We start from the raw sequence: 15784 nt of genomic DNA, 5'->3' as shown, positions 1-15784 counted from the left end.
CCTCTATCAAGAATCAGTGTGGGCTTCATGAAGGGTGTGGTTCCTTACAGCCTTGCGGTGCTTAATGTTATTGGTTTGGGATGTGGAATAATATTGTTATGCTGCTGTGCGTCTCCACAATGAAGAATTTAAGGTTTTTTGGTTTTTTTGAAGGAGAATTTTAAGTACAGAAACTCAGCAGTATATATTTAACCCAGTTTAGTGGCAAGTTCTTTGACCTCTGCCTTTTGCCACTTGGCAATGCAAGCCTCAGATTTATGACCCCAGACATTGCCTCCCCGGTGACAGTGATCTTAGCATACCCATTATTGTAACTGGTCCTGGTAGCTTCCTCCAGCTTAGCCAGAGCTCATTTGTCTTCCAAGTTAACCTGTGTGCAGGCAACACTGGTGCAGGTCTCCCTGTGGACTAGATGTCCCAGTCTGGCCGTTCCTTTGATGATGTAGTAGGGAACCCCCTTTCATGATACAGGGCAGATGGGAAGACAGCCTGCTGGAAAGGATCCATGTCGTGCGCAGTCACCACCAGTTGAGCCACCTTGTTCTCCCACAAGGTAGCAACAGTGTCAACCCCTGCACCAAGGACAGGTGGTCTCCAGTGGGGACCTCCCCTTTGCTGGCAGCTTTCTTCTCAGCCCGGGCCAGCAGCCATCAGTTCTTCTCTTGCACTGTCTCTGGTCAGTACCTGTGAGCCAGCCTAGGCAGCTGAGTGCTGTTTTGCTGCCCAAGGCCTGGACGAACTGGTTGCTCATGAAGGCACTTTCAGCCATGTTTAGAGGACAGCCCTTTGTCACCGCAGCTGGATGTAGCAGGGTCACTTGACAAAGCAGGTGAGGTCTCTTGGGGCCAGATGTCCTGCAAGTGCCAACATTTCTGGGTCTCTCTCAGGTGATTCATCACCTTGGCTGCTTGCTTCTTCACAACAGGGACTGGGGCCACCGTCTCCAGCTGCCCAAGATGCCAACAGAGTCTAACGTTTAAAGAAGAAGAAAATGAAATTAAGGAAAGAAGCTTTCTTAATTTAGCATGTAACTTCGGTCAGCCGCGGGCTGGCTCACTAATGCTTAGAACTAACTGTGAGTTTGAATCACTGTCGTAATGTTTGGTTTTATCTTCTGTGTCCCTCATGAAGGCTTCATATCGATGTACTCTAAGATAGTCCCGCTTATGAGATCTTACCGATGCTTCCAAAGACAATCTTATCTGTTCATTGTGGATTCTTTGGTGGTGCTTGTAGTCTGTTAAGGTGAAAGGGGGTGCCAGGTCCAGGCTCCTTGTTGAACTGGATCTATTGTACAACTCATTTACTCTGCTGTTGACAAGAAGAAGGAAGACAGGGCTCTGTGTGCCTCACATGATGAGCTGTTAGCCCTGGAAGACAGACAGACTTTTCCTATTACTCAAGTGGGCATCTGTTAGATCCCATGTGAGCACTTTGTTTTCCTGTCCATTGAGGGTCCCATAAAAGCTTTGGCATCCCACTACAGAACTGTGTGCACAGTGGACACTCAGAAAGAATGGAGGTGTATTATCAGCTCTCTCATTGGTTACAGTATGGGAAAAAGGAAAAGGAAGTAATTTTGTTTAACTTGAACCTGAGTACTGTGGTAGCAATAAACTACCAAGTAAAGAAACAACACGTGCATTTAAGCTTTGGCAACTGTCTACTTATCAAGCACTAATGGCTGTTATATAGATGTATAAATGACATTTTATATGTTACTAATAATAGTTTAAGGTTCTAATATTCCTACCACAACTCCACTGTAGCCGATGAGAGGAGTCAGGGAGACTGGTTAGTCATGATGCTAGTGAAGTAGAGAGCTCTGAGCTGGTTTGTCTGTATAAATGACAGAGAAGACACTTGCTTGTGAAACCAAATGACCACATGGGTGCCTGGGTGTAGGGGGCCTTGGCACAAGATGATCCTGAGGGTTGAAAGTAGGGTGGCTGAGAAGAGAGTGTTGCTATTAGCCCAAGCAAGAGGCCCATGGAGGAGCATGTACACAGGTGTGTCTGGGCACGTTGATTTGGAGATGTGAACAGGCCATCTGCCACATGAGATCATGAACCCCCATAGCCTAGGCAACTTGATGGGCTTCTTAACCAGCCCCTCACAGGTGACTTCCAGGAAACACATGTCTGGCTATGGGCCTGCAGATGTGGACATGGAGGTCCTTTGCATAGAGCAGATTGTTGGAGCTCTCTGAGATGGCAAAGAGGGAACTTGAAAAGAGACAGCCAAGTATAGAAAATTGCAAAACAGAAGGAAGAGGAGGCAATAATGGATCAATTAGGAAGGTTGAAAAAGATTTCGAGGAATGAAGAAGAACCAGAGAAATACTCCACCCAGGAAGCCAAAGAAGCAGTTGCCATATAGGGATTGAAAGGGATGAGACCTGGAAAGGAACCATTCAAAAATGTCATTTCTGAACAATGAGAGGAAAAGAACAGATTCTCCAATAAATGGTGTATAATAGTTGGCCATTTGGGGAAAAGTAGTTAGATCCCAGACCATATGTAAACATAAAATATAAATGTAAAAAATCAAGATGAAATTATAGACAAATATTTTTATAACTTGGAGTAGAGAATGTTTTATAAGAGAGGAAGCTAAAAGGGAAAACAGATATTTGGGTACATAAATATTAACACCTTCTTGCACCTCAAGACACCACAGAGAAAGTTAAAAAAAAAAACTGTTGGTGTACTGGGACAAAATATAAACAAAGCATGATAGAAAAAAGGTTACTACCCTTCAATGTAAGATAAATTTCTGTAATCAGAAAGGAGAAGTAACAGAATAAAAGAGCAGGTATACTTTGTTCTCCAAGGACAAAATATAACATGACTATGAAAATGTTTGCTAATAAAAAAAATACAGTAAGGAAATGGCAGTGTTTGCCTATTACACTAGTAAAAATTAAAATCCATTTTAACATCCACTGCTGATGAGGCATGGACATTTAGGCAAACATTGTCACTGGGCACCTAAGTTGTTAAGTTCTCTTTGGAGAATATTTGGTCCAAATTTATTGAATTTTTGGGTGCACGTATACTTCGATTTAGCAGTATCATGTCTAAGAATATATCATACATAAATCATACCACGAGAATACCAGATTTATCTAAAAGGAATTTATTCCATCATTACCAATCACAGAACATAAAGAATAGCCTAAATATCAATGAGAAAATGGTTAAATGTGTGTGCATCTGTAGAATGAAATATTAGGCAGCCATTTTTTAAATGAGATAAATCTGGGTGTTTTACTCTGAAAAGAATTCCATGATAAATTGCTAAGTGAAGAGGAGAGAGAATGAATCATAGCCCAGTATTAGCCCGATTCCATTTATCACTATATAATAATAACTCCTATGTGTATTTGAACATATAAATAGGCGTGTCTCTATGCAATCATGAAAATGTTGGGAAGGACATACACCAACAGGATAGAGGCAGGGATGGAGAGGCAATGAGAAAGACAGAAACGTTCATTGATGACCTTTGAAAGAGCAGGGGTGGGGATAGGAATCAATGGGGTGGGAAAGTGGTGAGCTGTGAGTATGGGGTACTCGGGATTAATGATTAGGAAGATGGAGATGTAGCTTAAGAGGCAGACAGGGTGATACATAAGGTTTTGTTGGCTAGGATAGGAGAAATTTGAGTCTATCTGTATGCCAAAGAAAGGGAAAAAATACAAAAAACAAAAGCTGTAATAATTGAAAGAGCACAGTAGTAGTGGAGGCAGTAAGGAATGGAATCAAGACAGGGCGATCCTCCTTTCTCTGGGGTTGCAGAGGCTGAATGAAGTTAGCAGAAGCTTTACCAGGAGCTACAAGCAGATGGACCCTGTGAGGGATAGGCAAGGCCAGAGGCAGAGAGGGATGCAAATGGTGGTGTCAGAAATAAAAAAAAAAAAAAAAGGAAAACATTGGAAACTACTCTTGAATTGATTTAGGTGGGAAAAGATGGAAGACTTTGAGGAAGGAAAAGACATAAGACCTAAGTTCAGAGCCCAGCTGAGATCAAGTATTCATTTGTAATGAAGCAAGTTGCCATTTCCGGAGTGTCCAGCAGCCTGGGGGAGGAGAAGGAATCCAATGGGTTAGGGTCAGAATTAGAGGAGTTCCGGATTTAGTAACATTTAAAGAGCTGTCCAAGGGTCCCAAGCTGGGCAAGGAAAGCCCAAGCGATGCTGACAGCCTGAGAGAATATAAAGAACTGAACGTCTTCATAAGAGTTTTTTAAAAAAATAAAAGCAGATATTCCAGGGGTAAGGAAATGACAGAAGTGGCGAAAGAGCAAGTTGGAGCTACAAGGTGGGTTGTCCTAGTTCTTTGCAGAAGAAATTCAGGCTCTAAGGGCCAAGGTATAACCAAGGTGATGGGTGAGCGTTGTGCTGTTGGTTTGTCTCAGGAGACTCTTAAGTCCCATGAGGGCAGGGATTATGCAGCTCGCCTTCTTTACATCTCTAGGGCTGAGTGCAGTCCCTGGCACATAATAGACACACAGCAAACATTGGAGGGAACCAGCGGCTAGGGTAGGGTGGAAACTAAGATCTTGGTGTTGAGGCATTCAGGTATCTCTAAGGTGAGGATGCTGGACAGGTTTCACTGTTACAGTCACTGAGGGAAATCACAGGAGACCTAGGTAAAGAGAAGTATAGAGACTTGTATTAAAATGATCAAGAATTGTGGGAAAACTTCTGGTTTTAGTTGATATTAATTGGTAAGGAAAGAGGAAGTGACAAAAGCAGATGGTCTGACCAGTGTTTTGAGCCCAGATCCACCTGCCACAGAGTATGTAGGATATGTATTAAATCTGCACGTTTGGGGGCTCTGCCCTAGACCTGTCGTATCAGAATCTCTGGGGATAAAGCCTGGAAAACTGTATTTTTAACAGTTTCTTCACAGATATGTAGGCCCAGTCAATAAGGCTCAAAAACCACTGGTGTAGACTCTGATGTGGAGCTTCTTGGCCAAGTGTGGGAAGCAAATGGAAGCAAGGAGTTTGTTAGCTTCTTCTCCTGACCCAGCAAATTCAGGACAATGAGAAAGGAAACACTCCCAAAGCCTCTTAAAGAAAAGCTTTGAAAGAAGGAGCTTCTTTGTACCCATGAAAATACAAAGGGGGAAAAACTGGCTTCAGGAGGAAACCAGTTTTGGTTAAATCAAAGAAGTAGAAAGTACGTGATGGAAAATGCCTAGGCTGTTTTGAATGGCTGTTTCGAAAATGTCTACATGGATTCCTTCCATAGTTATCAAAAGACTCAGGTTATTTGCCCTTCTATTGAAGAGGGAGGTTTAGGTTTAGTCTCAATTACCATTCCATCAATGGAAATGGCAGAAAATACTGCTGAGTGTGTGCACGTGTCCATAGAGGAATTTGATAAAATATTTATACGTATGTATATTGTATGTACAGGCATACTTTATTTTACTGAGCTTCACAAATAATTGCATTTTTTTTTTTTTTTTTTACAAATTGAAGGTTTGTGGCAACCTTGAATCAAGCAAGTCTGTCAGTGCCATTTTTTCAACAACATGTGCTTATTCATGCCTCTGTGTCACATTTTGATAATTCTCAAAATACTTCAAAGCTTTTCATTATTATTGTGTTTGTTATGGAGATCCCTCATCAGTGATCTTCAATGTTACTATTGTAATTGTTTTGTGGTATAAGACCACACCCGTATAAGACTGTGAACTTAATTGATAAATATTGTATGTGTTCTGATTGCTCCACTGACCATTTCCTGTCTCACTCCCTCTCCTTGGGTCTCAATTAGGGCGATTAACAACCCTCCAGTGGCTTCTAAATGTTAAAATGCAAGGAGGACTCTCACATCTCACTTTAAGTCAAAGCCAGAAAGGGTTAAGCTCAGTGAGGAAGGAATGTGCAAGAGGCCTGGCTAGCTTTTGGTCTGTCTCAGTACAAGTTACCCAAGTTGTGAATGCAAAGGAAAATAACTTGAAAAAATTGAAAGTGCTACTTCAGTGAAGACATGAATGATAAGAAAGCAAAACTGCCTTATATCTGATATGGGGAAAGTTTGAGTGGTCTGGATAGAAGATCAAACCAGCTACAACATTTGCCAAAGCCAAATCCATAGCAAAGCAGTAACTCTCTTCAGTTCTGTGAAGACTAAGAGAGGTGACGAAGCTGCAGAAGAAAAGTGTGAAGCTAACAGAGGATGGGCCATACGGTTTCAGGAAAGAAGCCGTCTGCATAACATAAAAGTGCAAGATGCAGCAGGAAGTGCTGATGTAGAAGCTGCAGCAAGTTCTCCAGAAGATCTAGCTAAGATCACTGTTGAAGGTGGATACACTAAACAACAGATTTTCAATGTAGACAGAACAGCCTTATATTGGGAGAAGATATCATCTCAGACTTTCATAGCTAGAGAGAAGTCAGTGCCTGGCTTCAAAGCTTCAAGGGACAGGCTGACTTTCTTCTTAGGGGCTAAGCCAGTGTTCATTTACCATTCTGAAAATCCCAGGGCCCTTAAGCATTGTGGTAAATCTACTTTGTGCTCTAGAAATGGAACACAAAGCTGGGTGACAGCACATCTGTTTACACCAAGGTTTACTCAAGATTTTAGGCCCACTGTTGAGACCTACTTCTCAGAAAAAAGATTCCTTTCAAAATATTACTGCTCATTGACGGCACATCTAGTCACCCAAGAACTCTGATGGAGCTGTACAAGGAGGTGAATGTTGTTTTCATGCCTGCTAACACAACATCCATTCTGCAGCCCATGGATCAAGGAGTAATTCTGGCTTTCAAGTCTTATTATTTGAGAAATAATACATTTTGTAAGGCTGTAGTTGCCATACGTTCCTCTGATGGATCTGGGCAAAGTAAATTGAAAACCTTCTAGAAAGGATTCACCATTCTAGATACCATGAAGAACATTCATGATTCATGGGAGGAGGTCAGAATATCTGCATTAATAGGAGTTTGAAAGAAGTGATTGTAACGCTCATGGATGATTCTGAAGGGTTCAAGATTTCAAAGGAGGAAGTCACTGCATATGTTGGGGAAATAGCAAGAGAACGAGAATTAGAAGTGGAGCCTGCATATGTGATTGAACTGCTGAAATCTCATGATAAAACTTGAATGGATAAGGAGTTGCTTTTTAGGAGTGAGCAAATAAAGTGGTTTCTTGAGATGGAATCTACTCCTGGTGAAGATGCAGTGAACATTGTTAAAATGACAACAAAGGTTTTAGTTTGTTCCATAAACTTAATTGATAAAACAGTGGCAGGGTTTGAAGGGATTGACTCCAATTTTGAAAGAAGTTCTGCTGTGAGTAAAATGTTATTAAACAGTGTATTGGTCAGAGTTCTCTTAGAAGGACAGGAGTTTATTAAACATTAACTTATGATCACAAGGTCCCACAATAGGCTGTCTGCAAGCTCAGGAGCAAGGAGAGCCAGTCCAAGTCCCAAAACTGAAGAACCTGGAGTCCGATGTTTGAGGGCAGGAAGCATCCAGCATGGGAGAAAGATGTAAGCTGGGAAGCTAGGCCTGTCTCTCCTTTTCATGTTGTTCTGCCTGCTTTATATTCACTAGAAGCTGATTAGATTGTGCCCACCAGATGAAGGGTGGATTTGTCTTCCCCAGCCCACTGACTCAAATGTTAATGTCTTTTGGCAACACCCACAGAGACACACCCAGGATTAATACTTTGTATCCCTCAATTTAATCAAGTTGACACTTAGTATTAACCATCACAAACAGCATTGCATGCTACAGAGAAATCCTTCATGAAAGGAAAAGTCCATCATTGTGGCATACTTCATTGGTATCTTCATTTAAGAAAATGCCAGTCACTCCAGCCTTCAGCAGCCATCACCTTGATCTATCAGTAGCCATCCACACGAAGGCAAGGCCCTCCACCAGCAAAAAAGGTTATGACTTGCTGAAGTCTCAGATAACCATTAGTGTTTTTTTTAGCAATAAAGCATTTTTTAATTAAGGCATGCACATTTTTTAGATAATGCTATTGCATACTTAATAGACTACAGTCTAGTGTAATCATAACTTTTATATGCACTGGGAAGCCAAAAAATTTGTATCACTTGCTTTATTGTGGTTGTCTGGAACCAAAAAATCAATATATCTCCGAGGTATGCCTGTATGTTTATTTCAAGACTAAAATAAAGAAACTTCTTGTAAGGAGTTTTCTTGCCCACAATTAAGTCATCTTCACAATGTCCTTTCATTTTGGACCGCTTTCAAAATATTGTTTTTAGCATTAGAACCACACCAACTTAAAGCTTGGATATATTTCTGCAACTACAGGGATAATGGGAACTTTGTGCTTTCAATGGTTTTCTCCAAGGATGCCTTTGTCCTGGAGTCAGATAAGAGAGTTGCAGGCTGGCTTTCAGATACTGGAAATCTTACAGATGGTAGCAAGAAAAGTGATATGGGAGGAGGAAGTTGAATTGTCATGAAGCATCAAGAGAGCACTTTGGGAATGATGGAGGGTCTGAGAGTCAGCTGGGATGAGGAGTGTATCAGTCCAGCTGGCTGCATGAAGATCAGGGTACATGAGGAGGGGTCAGCCTGGGGAGAATTCAGCTGGACCTGGATTTGAAACTAGATGAGAAGCTGGGGGTAGTTGGAGGGAATTCGGTTTTTTGAACAGATGATTTTTCGAACAGTGAAGGTAGCATCATGTGAGACGGTTTGCTCGCTTGCTCATTGATGCTGTTGCCTCTGCGGGTATAGTGCTGTGAATTCTAACTCTTGAGTTGAAGGCTATGTATTTTAGCTCACTAATCCCAGCCAGTCCCTTGGAACTTGTTCCTCTTACTCCGTGTTTACTTGTACCTACCCACACAGTTACACTCTGTTGGTGGCTGCTAACTGGCACTAAATAACTTTAAATAAAACTGTATCCCCTCTGATAATTTTGAACTCTGAAGTGTATTCTCCATGATTCGTCAGATGCCAAATTTAAATGTATATCTCAGTATTTCTCTGCAGAGTCCGAAACAAATGCTTTTTATGTTACTGTTTCTTGGCAGGTTTCAAAAAGCTACCAGATTGCAGGCGTTTATCATGGTCCTATAACTCCTATCTCTAAATCTGCATCCCTGCCACTCTCCCCCTCCGCCCTTCCCCCACCATGGTTATTTCTATGGACTTTGTGGCAACTTTGCGCAACAGAACTGCTACCTTAAAAAGCTATGGATAAAATATGGCTCCAGGTCACATGAAGTGTAAAGGCTTATGCCCATGACTGGAACGTAAGGTCAACAAGATGATTCCAAACTGGAGCACTTTCCAGGGGTTGTTTGGGGGTAAAAACACCATGTTTACACAAAGAGAAAGCTATTCACAGCTTTTCCTTTTGGGAAAAAAAGCATTATCAGCTTTTTGTGGCTTATTTATTCTATGGCTTATCAGTTGACTAGCTTTTAATGTTCCCTTCCTTATGGCTTTTTTTAAAATCCTTTATCCAAAAGGATAAGGAGATGTTTACTTTGAACTTGCCAGAGGTAGCCCAGATTCAAGAAGGCTTTATGAACCTTAATTATCAATAGTGGAGAGAAGGGTCTTTGTTTAACCAGGAATAATAGGATTTCTATGATTTTCCTCATCAACTTTCTAAGCTAATAAATTTTGTTGCTGCTAGCATTTGTTTAGTAGTTCAGCATAGAAAAATGACGTCTTGAGCATCTTAACATTTAGAGAGGAAGTTGAATATGAAATTTGTTTTCTGGAATATAAGTCTCACTAGGTTGAGTTGCTTGGCAGGATGGCAAATGTGCCCCTCCCAGCACTGAGAGGGATGAGAAGGAGCAGAGAATGGAAAGCCTGTTTTCTGTGTGCCCCGGGAAGGCCTGGAGAGGTGGGCACGATGGCCACATGTGGGGATGCAGAATTGAGGCTGGGAGAGGATAAACGATGTGTGAAGGGCATCCTGCAAGATAGTTGTGGAATAAGAATTCAAATGCAGGTCTCCCTGTTTTCAAACGCAGCCTCTTTAAACTGTTCTACATTCTCTCCATAAAAACTGAAAGGTGCTTCACCAAATAGCCCTTGAGAGGTACTAGGTTTTCACTGTGCTACTGTACATCATGAAGAGAGAATTTACTATTTTTCCCATTTAAAAGCACGCAGTATCTACTAAGTAATGCTAAATCTTATATTCTGCTTTCTTATATTCTAGATTTTCTACCCTAGCAAGGATGGTACGAAGATTCCAATGTTCATTGTGCATAAAAAAGGCATAAAATTGGATGGCTCTCATCCAGCTTTCTTATATGGCTATGGCGGCTTCAACATATCCATCACACCCAACTACAGGTGAGCTCGGAACGCACTCAGAGTGCCAGTATTTTATCTTTTCCATATAGTGGAAACAAACCAGAGTGCTCTACTAAATCAACTTTCTAAAATACATTACTGGCCAGGCGTGGGGGTTCACACCTATAATCCCAGCACCTTGGGAGGCTGAGGCAGGCGGATCACCTGAGGTCAGGAGTTCAAGACCAGCCTGACCAACATGGTGAAACCCCATATCTACTAAAAATACGAAAAATATTAGCTGGACGTGGTGGCGGATGCCTGTAATCCCAGCTACTCAGGAGGCTAAGGCAGGAGAATAATCACTTGAACCCAGGAGGCAGAGGTTGCAGTGAGCCAAGATCACGCCACTGCGCTCCAGCCTAGGCAACAAGAACGAAACTCCATCTCAAATTACAGTTCTACAAAATTCTTGCTGCTTGTTTTCATAGACGGGCAGGATTATGTGTTAACTATCTGAAATGTTGACCAGGAATTGAAGGATCATTTCAAGCTAATCTTGAAAAACAACCAAAAATGTCCTCAGTGTAACAGGTTGTTTGGGAACTGGATTGGGAGGCTATGGCTGCGTGACTACAGAAGATTTGTATTAATCAAGGTCTTAAAGGAAGCTCCTTTCTTCAGTGTTTGTCATTTGCTGCCACCGCACTACCTTCAGTATTCTCTTCAGAGGGAATGATTTCTTAGCTGATGATATTTTTCACCAGCAGAGTCTTAAAATAGACTGTCTTAACGTTCAGCCATAAATGTTTTCTGTATACTCTGTTACATCATCTATTTTAGACTATTGTGTGCTGTTTCTGTGATTATTTCCCAGATAATTACGTTCAGGGAGAAAATTCTACATTTATATGTTTGCTATTGTTGGTATAAATATCTTCTCTGTTATTTGCAAACTTGATTTTAATATCCCATTGCTAGTATAAAGTGGAATTTGCTTTGAGCACTTTTAATAAAAACAAGGAGTTTCCCACCAGCAAGACTAGCTTTGAGCCAACTTCTAAATAGAACCCCATATGAAATCTGATTCACAGATTCATCCAGGATCTTTTCTGTTTGGGAAGAGATTCATGGACTGGTGACTACCAGGACATAAATTCAGAATAGATTCAACCATCTGTCCTGAAGTTGGATACAAGAACACTGGTACTTTGTTTTGAGCACTCAATATCTGTAGAAGCTCATTATTTTAGATTTAATGAAGTATGAAATATGATGCCTGCCCTCAAGTGATTTATAATGAAATTGTAGACCTCGAATATCTGGCAGAAGAGTTTGCATTTATCCTTTTGTTAGCAAGGAGCTGATGGGAGGTTTTTGTGTAAAATCACGATGTAGAACAATATTTTCGAAAGATATATGTGGCATCATCATATGAGTAAATGAAGGGAAACTAGTTAGAAAAGTGTCATAACGGTTGCTGTTCATTCATTCTATATTGACAGCGCCATATACCAGGCAACATTCCAGACATGAGGACTTCCCATCTCTTTCCAAAGTTTCCCAGGCAACGAGATTTGTTATCATTGTAATAACAAATATGTAATATTAACACATTGGTATCTATGTGTTAATATTACATGCCATATTATTCTTTGTGATTATTAGTCTAAGAATGCAAGCCTCAGGTAGAGCAACCTTGCCCCTTGAAAAAAAGCAAGACGATAAATGTTGGGGTTTATTATATTAACCTAATCCTTATATCACTCAAAGTATTAAAATGCAGGCTTCAGTTTTAACTCACAGTGATGCTCGAGTGTGGGGCAGTGAACACGTGTTTCATCAGTGGACAATGAGTCACCTTGAGCCCCATTCCCTTGGTCCCAGCAGGTGGTCCAGGATCAAGACAACACTGATTCCTGAGTGGATCCTGTTGGGATTCAAGAGATGAGTCCCGGGGCCATTTTCATCCCAGAACCCAGTGCATTTAATAGTAGTCTCAGGAGAGACCATCAGAGATGCATGAAAGTCTTGAAGAGAGGACCAAGTGATCAAACATCAATCTGGCTAATAAGGTGTGGTTGGATGGTCTGATACATCTACCCTAATTCATCTGACCTTTCCTGTTCATCCTCAATATTCAGGAAATTAGCATTCAAACCATTGAGAACCTTCAGTTTATAGAAGCCCATGGTTTCCCCAGTTGCTAAAAGAGTGACACAGTTCTCAGAAATAGTTCTCAAAGCACAGTTAATTTTAGTTAACAGCATGTCACTCAGTACTTTTAGGGTCACAGTGGAAAGAGAAGGGGGAAACAAAATCCAAATTTTCCAAAGGACTTAATGCTCTTTCCTAGAGGGTTTGTGCTATAGTTTCTTCTGCTTATCTCGAGAAAATATCCTCCAGCCCTGAGAACTCTATTCCTGATCTCCTTTACCTCTTGCACACCCTGTGTTGGCTAATTTACCATAGAAATTTCTGTAGAACTGGAATACATGTTTAAAAATCCATGTTCCAGAAAAAGCTTTTTCTTTTTTCCAACTTAAAACAGTTTGGAGAAAGTTACTCAAAAAATGATAAAAGGAACCATTATCAGGTCCTCCTGTGAGCCCAGCACCATTCATGCCTGGGCTGGCAGTGTTTTGTTTTTTCTCTGTTTGTTTATATTATGAATGGTGTAGTGAAATATTTATCAACGTAGAAAAATAAGACACTGAATGCTTGTGAGAACATATTAGCTTTGCCTGAGTGCAGTGGTTCACGCCTGTAATCCCAGCACTTTGGGAGGCCAAAGCAGGCGGATCACTTGAGGTCAGGAATTCAAGACCAGCCTGACCAACTTGGCAAAACCCCATCTCTACTAAAAATACAAAAATTAGCAAGGCATGGTGGCGCACACCTGTAATTCCAGCTACTCAGGAGGCTGAGGCAGAAGGATCACTTGAGCCCGGAAGGTGGAGGTTGCAGTGAGCCATGATTGTGTCACTGCACTCCAGCCTGGGTGACAGAGTGAGACTCTGTCTCAAAAAATATGTATATATATTAGCTTTGCAGTTAAGTATTAACAGGAAGTTATGTGTTTTTCACTTTAATCAAGCAATAAAAGAAATGTCAAGCTCCTATTGAGATGATATTACTCAGAGTGTTGTTGGGCATACACTTTTTTGAGATGGAGAGAGAGGGCATGGTCTTCACTAGGCAGTTAATGGAAGGTTAACTGTTTTTACTGCTTCTCAGTGTTTCCAGGCTTATTTTTGTGAGACACATGGGTGGTATCCTGGCAGTGGCCAACATCAGAGGAGGTGGCGAATATGGAGAGACGTGGCATAAAGGTGAGGTGTTTTCTCTACAGAAACACAAGTCTGACATAATCAAAGCTAAGGTTGTGCTGATCCTTCCTGTTTGAATGAGCTGAAGGGGTTTGGAGCAGGAAAGCTTTTTGGCTAGACGAATGAAAAACAAGGATATTATCAGACACAGGCACCACTCCCCCCTTAAAAACAACTCACTTTTCACATTTTATTTTCCTTTGTTATAATAAATAGATGAAGTACATATTTTTCAGAAGCATTCCTTGTTATTTTGGGGTTTTTTAACAACTCATAGGTTGTGTTTTTAATTATCACTGTCAGGAGTGAATCTCGGAGAGCTTTTTGGTATTTATTCTGTCTCTTGTTAGCCTTGTTTTTATAGTTCAGCATTAGTTGACTGTCTTGAAACAGAAGTCAAGGCAGGTCATTTTCTCTTAAGAGAAAGGAGCAATCTTGGAGCTTTCTGTTCCCAGTGTGGGCATCCTCCTGCTGGTTTTCTCAGATCTTCCCGGCATTGCTGAGGAATCTCATCCTCCTAGCATTGCTGCTGTGACTCTGTCGTGCATTAGTTTTAGACACAAAAACAATCATTTTTCTAGTTTTATTCCGTCTCCATTCTGTGGCCTCCTGAAGCATGTATTCTAGCTGATTGACTAATACCCAACTTTATACCCCAAATGGTCACAATTTTTTTGAATGATCGTCTGTATTTTAAAGCTGCATCTCTTCCATTTCTTTCTATGTGGAGCACCCCTCACCCAGGCTTTTGTGTATCTGAAATTGAATTCATAGACTAACCAGTGGTCTGAAGAGGTTCTTCACTTGTCCTGTGTCTTTGGGGGAGGGAGGACATGGGAAAGCACCTTCACCTCCATCAGCTCTATGCTTCCCCCAGTCTTTTCAGCCATCATTTATCATAAGGCCTACCAGGACCCCAGTGCTTGGGGCTGGTCAGCAGCTCCAGGTGAGAGGGGTCTCCTCAGCATCAGAGACCACCCTTAAGATATCTGTACCTCTCTTCTGTTTCCCATGCCATCCCAAACCAGAGGCCTGAGGCTCTGGATTTTTTTTGCATCAAATCAAATCAGCGAACATGAGGGTAAACCTGTTGTAAAGAGATTTCCATTAAGTACCTGTTAGGTACCATATGCAGGAAAGGCTTAGAAATGACCCCCGGGCATCCAGCATGCACCCCAGGGGCTGACAGCAGACTCCTCAAGTGCACCTTAGTGAAAGTGAGTGCCCCTGGCCGGCCATCTGGTCCATCGTTGCCAGTTATCATCCCCAGAAACTACTGATTGTGACTGTCTTTGAAACTGCAAAGAATTCATTGCATAATTTTGAGCTGATATTAGAGTTTACACTAAAATCATACTGTGAAACTGATATTAAAAGATGAGTGATAAGAGGATAAAATTTCTGTATACCATATGTTTGATCCCAAATATGTATGCTAATTCTGAACCCCTTGACTCACCTGATTTCCTATTTAAATTGTATGTAGTTTATGCACCATACCCCCTACTCATGGTCCCCTGATCCTGGGATCCTCTCCTGAAATAACTGGATTATTCTCCAGAAAACCCCTCTGGTCATCAGATGTCCACCATGCTCTGAGAGGGAAGAGTAATTTGGTCCTAGTCTGCTCTCTCATTTTTTATTAGTTAGAACCAAGTTATTTTCCAGTCTTGGGATTAGGCAGGTTCAAGATTGACTAAGGCTAACAGTAGACTATGTTTAGACTGATTTATAAACTTCCTCAAAATTTAGGCCATGATGAAAGGACCAGAAATAGACCTTTTCCAGTTATAGCCTAGGATATGATACACTGGTAAATCTAAATTCCATTCTGTTAATTGACTTTAAAATTTAATGCTCTTTTTAAAATGTAGTCATATACCCAAAATATTGTTATTCCTAGTAACTAAGTAATCCTAGCTGTTCTAAATTCACTGGTAATTTCTTACTGAAATCTTAATAACATTTGTTTTGATATGAAAAACATTTCAGTAGGACTGCTTTATCTTTAATTAAATTTCAGCAGAAGTGGTTAATCTCAAGTATCTAATTAGATCTGTGTCTGCTCTTTGTTCATTTCAAAGGCCGTTATTTCAGACATCTGTTCCTTTGAGGACATGCTTTTGACTTTTGGCCTTTACTTATAGATATTTCATGGCCCTGTAAATGTTTCTCCAAGTAATTTGTTT

The 15784-nt window shown here is 41.0% G+C and overlaps 1 protein-coding gene and 1 pseudogene across 1 annotated transcript in view; one reads left to right on the top strand and one right to left on the bottom strand.

Moving 5' to 3' along the window:
• The window catches only part of PREP (prolyl endopeptidase), a 129865-nt gene that overhangs the window by 103999 nt on the left and 10082 nt on the right, over positions 1-15784 (top strand). Inside the window, exons 11-12 of the mRNA NM_002726.5 lie at positions 10190-10326; positions 13504-13598. Of these exons, the coding sequence (NP_002717.3) occupies positions 10190-10326; positions 13504-13598 (232 nt within the window). The remainder of the gene's footprint in view (positions 1-10189; positions 10327-13503; positions 13599-15784) is intronic.
• On the bottom strand, positions 159-943 carry RPL7AP35 (ribosomal protein L7a pseudogene 35; annotated as a pseudogene).

Source organism: Homo sapiens, chromosome 6 (genome assembly GCF_000001405.40).
Source record: "Homo sapiens chromosome 6, GRCh38.p14 Primary Assembly".
Classification (NCBI taxonomy): Eukaryota; Metazoa; Chordata; class Mammalia; order Primates; family Hominidae; genus Homo; species Homo sapiens.
Note: the sequence above shows the minus strand (reverse complement) of the source record. Positions and strands in the feature narration are given on the sequence as shown.